Source organism: Homo sapiens, chromosome 14 (genome assembly GCF_000001405.40).
Source record: "Homo sapiens chromosome 14, GRCh38.p14 Primary Assembly".
In the NCBI taxonomy this organism is placed as follows: domain Eukaryota; kingdom Metazoa; phylum Chordata; class Mammalia; order Primates; family Hominidae; genus Homo; species Homo sapiens.
The window spans coordinates 67,379,892-67,386,670 of NC_000014.9; the positions used below are offsets into that span (position 1 = coordinate 67,379,892).

Below are 6,779 nucleotides of genomic sequence, written 5' to 3' on the forward strand. Positions count from 1 at the left end.
GATCCGCCCGCCTCGGCCTCCCAAAGTGTCTTTTTTTCTTTTTAATAGAGATGGAGGTCTTGCTATGTTGCCTAGACTGGTCTATGAACTCCTGGTCTCCAGTGATCCCCCTGCCTCAGCCTCCCAAAGTGCTGGGATTACAGGCATGAGTCACTGGTGCCCAGCCTTATGTATCATAACTTTTTTACAATAGTTCTACCTTTACTTTTTACAGTGCTACTCCTCTTTTAGTCTTTATTTCATATTTTCATTTGCTCACTCATTCAACAAACATGCCAGTTAATAAGACCCTGGTCCCTGTCCTGTGGCACTTAGGAGGGTCAGATGAAATGCTACTTTTTGCATGAAGCCCTTCCTGACCTCATTAACTGGAAGTAATACCTTTCTGTCCTGATGCCCACAGATGTACTGTTACATTTAAAAGTTTTTCCATGTTTTTTTTTTCTATTCAAGATAGATTATAAACTCCTTGAGGCAGGGACAGCTAATTGCATGGAAGTAATCAATTATAGTAGAATATCAGATGTGTTAGGCATTAAATTGCTTGTTTTAGTCAGATCACTAAAATTTTGATTTCACTAATAATCAGTTGGGGTGTAAGTGCAAAGCTAAGATTTGAATTCTAATTGTGACACTAAAGCCTTAACTATTATATGCATTAACTATTATATGCTTAACTATTATATGCATTGTTCCATAGTGTTTGGTTTCACATTTATCAGTAATATAACCTTGACCTTTTGTTATTTATTTATGTTTTTGACCAGAGACCCATCTATTTTGGATAGTTTAGATTTGAATGAAGATGAACGGGAAGTACTCATTAATAATATTAATAGGCGCTTGACCCCACAGGCTGTCAAAATTCGAGCAGGTAAATGATTTTTTAAATGATTTTTACAGTATTTTGCATGCATCAAAAAAGCTATTAAATAATGAGACTTACCAAAGAATATGTTGCTACATCAACATCTATAAATTTTTCTAAATGGTTGTTTTTTATAACAAAAGCTTAAGAAATTATTTTGGCTTCTGAATCATAAAATTTATATATTGACACAAGTAGAAACAGTCTTGTGAGTTCAGCTAACCTAAAGGTAGCCCTTTTTTTAAAAAGAGGGGTTTGATTGTTTTGTTTTAGTGCATACTTTAAAATATTCCAAATTTTTACAAAGATGAGACATACCATGCGGAATTTTCTCCAACTAGCCTTTTCCACCCAGTGTATCATAGGTACCCTTCCATTGCAGAACATAGGAATCTTTCTCATTCTTTTTTATGCTGGGTAATGTTTCATAGAACAGATAAACCTTAACATAAACCCGTCCCCTCCTGATGAACATTTAGGTTGTGCCAGTTTTCTCACAGTTACAAAAAAATGCTACAAATTAGCACCCTTATATTATACATACTTAACCATTTACACAAATGTTCTTCAAGACAAATTCCTAAAAGTAGAATTTCTGAGTCAAAGGGTAATGCAATTTCTAAACCGTTTTAGATAAGTTGCAGTTATTGTTATATTCCATCTTTACCACACTCCTCCTTGCCTCCCTTTTATAAATAAGGAACTGCAGTATAGAGAGGTTGGATTCAGTATAAGTATTTGAATACTAATATATCTGCCACGTGTTTGATTTCCTTTAAACTTTTAAATATTTTTTGCATTTTTTATCAACTTTTGAATTTTTGTAATTGTAGATATTGAAGTGGCTTGTTATGGTTATGAAGGCATTGATGCTGTAAAAGAAGCCCTAAGAGCAGGTTTGAATTGTTCTACAGAAAACATGCCCATTAAGGTGAGTCATGAGTTGTCTCCCTCCCTGCTGAAATGCTCACCTAAACCAAATAGGATCTTTGATCTTTGTTTCTTTTTTTTTTTTTAATCACATTTCATAACAAAAGTGGGTTTTTTACTCTTAAAATTGAGCAGTGGTTCTTGGTAATATTTCTAGATGTTTGTGATTTATGTTTAGGCTTTGTTGGTTTCTACTGTTACTATCACAGTGGATGGAGATTCCTATTGGTAGAAAGCCAGCGATGCCAAACCTCCTTTACAATAAAGAGTTGCTGTGCCCAAAATACTGAGAGCACTTTAAAAAAGAGTAACACTTTCTTCTATCTGTACACATACAAGTTTTATGAGGTTTGATCAGAATCTTTCATTAGTGATAAAATTAACTGGATGGCTGTAACTCAGAAGGATTCTTCCATCAGTTTAGTTCAGAGACAAATTATCCATTATACTGATGATAATTGCAGTTAGTTTAGCCACCAAAGATACACGGAAATGATAATTCTTTCTATTCAGTATCGCAGTGAACTGTTTATACTATTGCATTAGATCCCTGTGTTGATTTGCTTTTGCTACATTAACAAATCACCCCAAAACGTAATTGCCAATTCTGTAGGACCCTAAATTACTGTCCTGTAGAATTGGCAATTACGTTTTGGGGTGATTTGTTAATACAGCAGATTAATAAAATCTCAAGCATCCTAATAGTTGTGGGTTCTGTAGGTACATTCATAAATGAATTTTTGTCTTTCTCTTTTAGATTAATCTAATAGCTCCTCCTCGGTATGTAATGACTACGACAACCCTGGAGAGAACAGAAGGCCTTTCTGTCCTCAGTCAAGCTATGGCTGTTATCAAAGAGAAGATTGAGGAAAAGAGGGGTGTGTTCAATGTTCAAATGGAGGTGAGATCAATAGATTCATTTTTAATAATGACTCAGGAGGTTCCTAAAAGGAGTTCTTGTAGGTAAATAAGAGCTGTCGGCCTTGGAATGTCATATTGTAGGATGGTCATTCAGGCCTTTGATCACTAATGGTGTTAGGGTCACCCCCCGTCCCCAGCCAGGGGGAAGGGAATAAACAATATAAATGAGAAGTTTTTTTATGGTTTGAATTTGCATGTGGCATGTCTAAAATTTGATCTCAGAATTGGAGAAAAAAAAAGTTGTCTCCTGTCTTTTCCTTGTCCAACAAGAAAGAAGTGTGTGTACGTGCGTGCGTGCGTGTGTGTGTGTGTGTGTGTTATGGTTCCTTCTATGGAAAGGACTAGTAAGCTAGTAAGTAGTAGTTTGAGCCTGGAAGACAGGTTTTTTTAACAGGATATCTATTTGTGGTCTTGAAAGATACAGCCATTGGGGTTATTTCATGTTTTCAGTTTTAGCTTATAAAAATGACAGAAAATAATTTTCCATTTTAATACATACATCCTTTTTCTATACTATTCTCATAAGTTTCACCTCTTATTTATGTAATGGAATTTATTGCTGATAAGTCACTCAAAAGTGAACAGATATGACAGAGTTGTTAGAAAAGTGTTAAAGAGAGAAAACATTAGGCAGTAATAGTATTGAAATTAAATTTGTATAGTATTTACTACTTCAGTTTGAAATTATACCTCTGCTTCCACAGCCCAAAGTGGTCACAGATACAGATGAGACTGAACTTGCGAGGCAGATGGAGAGGCTTGAAAGAGAAAATGCCGAAGTGGATGGAGATGATGATGCAGAAGAAATGGAAGCCAAAGCTGAAGATTAACTTTGTGGGAAACAGAGTCCAATTTAAGGAACACAGAGCAGCGCTTCCTGGCTGTAAATCCTAGACTTGAAAGTTTTCCAGTATTGAAAACTTCAAAGCTGAATATTTTTTATTTCTAAGTATTTAAATGTTCTAACAGATCAGAACATGAAATGCCCTCCTAAATGTCAGCTGTTGTCACACAGTAGCTCCAACACTTTGAGCATTTTTAAGGGAGTGGCCTCATTTCACTAGAGACAAATCTTTAAGAATAGTTCTAAAATTGGGCTTGTGATTTCCATTTCTGATGTCTCCAGATTGGCACCCCTTTCTAGTTCAATGCCTCACGAGATTTGCCAGGGGCATCCAAGGCAAACAATCCCAATCTTTCTATATAAAATGTATTCAAGCAAACATCAAATAAATTTCTGGGATATTTAACTATAGGCTTCTTCCTTCTTGTCACCAGTTAAAAGCATTTTAATACTAAGACCCTAATTCTTTTATCTTTATTTTAGTCTTGATGTGGAACTGTAGGAGCAGGTGAATAAAGGATCTCTATAACAGATCCTTTCAAAAGAAGAGTTTTAGAGAAAATAAATTTAACTTTAACCACAGTGAAAGTTGACCCTTAGCGGGACAAAGCCTTAAAATGCATTGAAAGAATTAGATCGGTTCTGTGCCTTTTATCTATTTGAGATTGATGACAACCTGTGTGAGAGAATTTATCACACCACGTCCTTATTGGAATAATAAGCTACTTGCCTTGAGTTTATAATTCAGGGTGGTAAAGTATGTTTTTAAATTTTAAAAAGCAGCTGCATTTTTTATTTAGTTGGAATATCACCCAATTTTTTATTTTTATTGCTATTAAAATATCCACTAGATGCCACCTAGAGCTCCAGTTCTTTATAACAAAACAGGGATCTGTTTGAACACTTACTGTTGTTTTTTTTTTTTTACATGTTTCCATCATTTCTGTCTTTAAGAACTAATTCGTACATAATAAGTTTCATAGGTAACACATTATTTGAAGTTACAGCTACAGTAGTCAGGTGTAGAAAATCTTGAGTTGCTTTGGTCTGCTTGTCTTCATAAATTTATTCTCTTATGATACTTGAGGTACCAGTTGTATTTAATTTTATTCATTATCCCTAGATAGCTATTAAGATACTTAGATTAGACCTAACCCACCATAGTCAATCCAAGACTAGACTACTCAATATTAAAGGGTCTGGAAAATAGAAGAGTGTGTTGGGCAGGTAGTTTGTACCATTTATGAAGGTTTGTTCCTTTGTTAAATTTAGCAGCCTGTACTAGCTTTTGAAATCCAGAAGTTTTAACTTCCAGTGGCTGGTTTCTGAGAGAGTGCCATGATTGCTAGCCAGCATTCCATATTGGGAATATGTAGAGGAGAACCTGGATGTACTTAAGAGTGGCATATAATTTTCACTTCTGTCTGTTGAGGCATCAAAAAAACAAGTTTAGAAAGCTGGCAACATGAAGAATGCATTCAAAATATAACAGGTGCTTCTTTGTTGTACGCAGAGGAATTTTTTCTTTTGATTTTGTTTACTGAAATTTGTTATACTTCAAAAGCCATAACTTGAAAAATACTGGTGGCGTCGATGGTGAGTGATTTTTATCCCACGTGGGCCTTTTGCTCAGTTCCATGGCAATTTTGTAAATTGACCCTAGCCAGAGAATAGATCAGTATTTCACTGATACCACGAGGAAAAGAACAAACAAAACTTAAAAGTATTCATACACCTTGCTAACCTAAAAGACAGCAGGGACAAGATACATATGAGGACAAGGTATACACCCAGTTCTGAATAACTTGAAGAACAGGCTTGGCAAAGAAGTAAGTTTATCCAAATCTTGAATTTCTGCCAGGCATGGTAGCTCATGCCTGTAACCCTGGCACTTAAGGGGCCAAGGCAGGAGGATCACTTGAGGCCAGTGAGCTGTGATCACTCCAGTGCACTCGAGCCTGGGTGACAGGGCAAGACCCTGTCTCAAAAAAAAAAAAAAAAACCAAAAATCTTGAATCTCCCATCAAAGCCTTTTCATTAAAAATACAATTTCATCTACTCCCTACTGTACCTTTCACTGATGTCAAGTGGCTATCAATTCATATAGCTGAAAATTAGTGATAGTTTGGGTCTCATTTATGCATAAATTAATTGAAAATCAGTAATGGCCAGGAAGAAATATGAATATTCAAACCACTTTTTTCTTTTTTTTTTTTTTTTTTTGGCAAATGGTGTTATATTGCCTGGGCAGGTCTCGAAATCCTGGGCTCAAGCTATCCTCCTGCCTCTGCCTCTGTAAGAGTGTGAGCCACCATGCCCCACCCAAACCATTTTTCATATCAGTTATAGCAAAACAAGACAAACCAGTTCTTAATAATGTTCAAAGTTGGACCCATAGAGACATGCTAAGCACTACATCATGCTAAGAAGAACAGTTATTACTCAGCTGCCATACTTCAGCCATTCTACTTTTACACCAAGAACAAAATGGCTAGAGATTTTTTTAAAAATACAAATGCCAGTACCTTGCCGAGACTTGTTCACTGATTTGCCCCAACCCCAAGGTAATGGTCATCTACTTTGCAACCTATGGAGATCCTGATAGCTCCCATACAAAGTGAGGTACACTGTTGCCAATTTGGAGGCAGGAAGCCATCAAACTAAACGTAGTTTAATTCAGATGAACACCTATCGATATTCAAAAGGCAAAACAAAAAAACTAATTCCAGGGACATTAGACCTTGGTGAAATGCCAAATGGAAAATGGTGCTTTAAAAGGTAGTCTCTTACCATATAAGGAATAAGTAAAACATTAGCTTGTGATTTCTCATTATTCAGGTCAATGTTTTAGACACGACTAACAAGGGACAGTTCAAACTATTAAAGAGAACAAATTTTTACTTAAGCACTTTGAGGTATCCACTCCCCTTAAATGTAAGTTATGTATTTTATCTGTTGATTAAGGGGAGGTCCAAGCATTTGTACTTGGCAGGAATGCTGGCAATAGCTTGTGCCAGATTACTGTATAAACTTGAAAGTAATAAAAATGTTCTTTAAAAGTATTGTATGATACAGACTTTTCACTACAGATTAACCTTCCAACTGGTGAAGTTTCTTGGTACCTATTTGTCTCAGCTTATATTCATTTTAAAACCAAAATTTAATGCCTTGATATAAATCTTCCCCATTTACATCTTTTTCTGTCCTTTAGAGCGC

General features: G+C 35.7%; 2 protein-coding genes across 2 annotated transcripts in view; both read left to right on the forward strand.

Moving 5' to 3' along the window:
* Window positions 1-6,625, forward strand: part of EIF2S1 (eukaryotic translation initiation factor 2 subunit alpha) — a 26,189-nt gene extending 19,564 nt beyond the window's left edge. The window contains exons 5-8 of the mRNA NM_004094.5: window positions 768-874; window positions 1,702-1,799; window positions 2,556-2,699; window positions 3,424-6,625. Coding sequence (NP_004085.1) covers window positions 768-874; window positions 1,702-1,799; window positions 2,556-2,699; window positions 3,424-3,549 — 475 coding nt within the window. The 3' untranslated portion in view covers window positions 3,550-6,625. The remainder of the gene's footprint in view (window positions 1-767; window positions 875-1,701; window positions 1,800-2,555; window positions 2,700-3,423) is intronic.
* The window catches only part of GPHN (gephyrin), a 1,227,209-nt gene that overhangs the window by 871,745 nt on the left and 348,685 nt on the right, over window positions 1-6,779 (forward strand). The window lies entirely within an intron of this gene.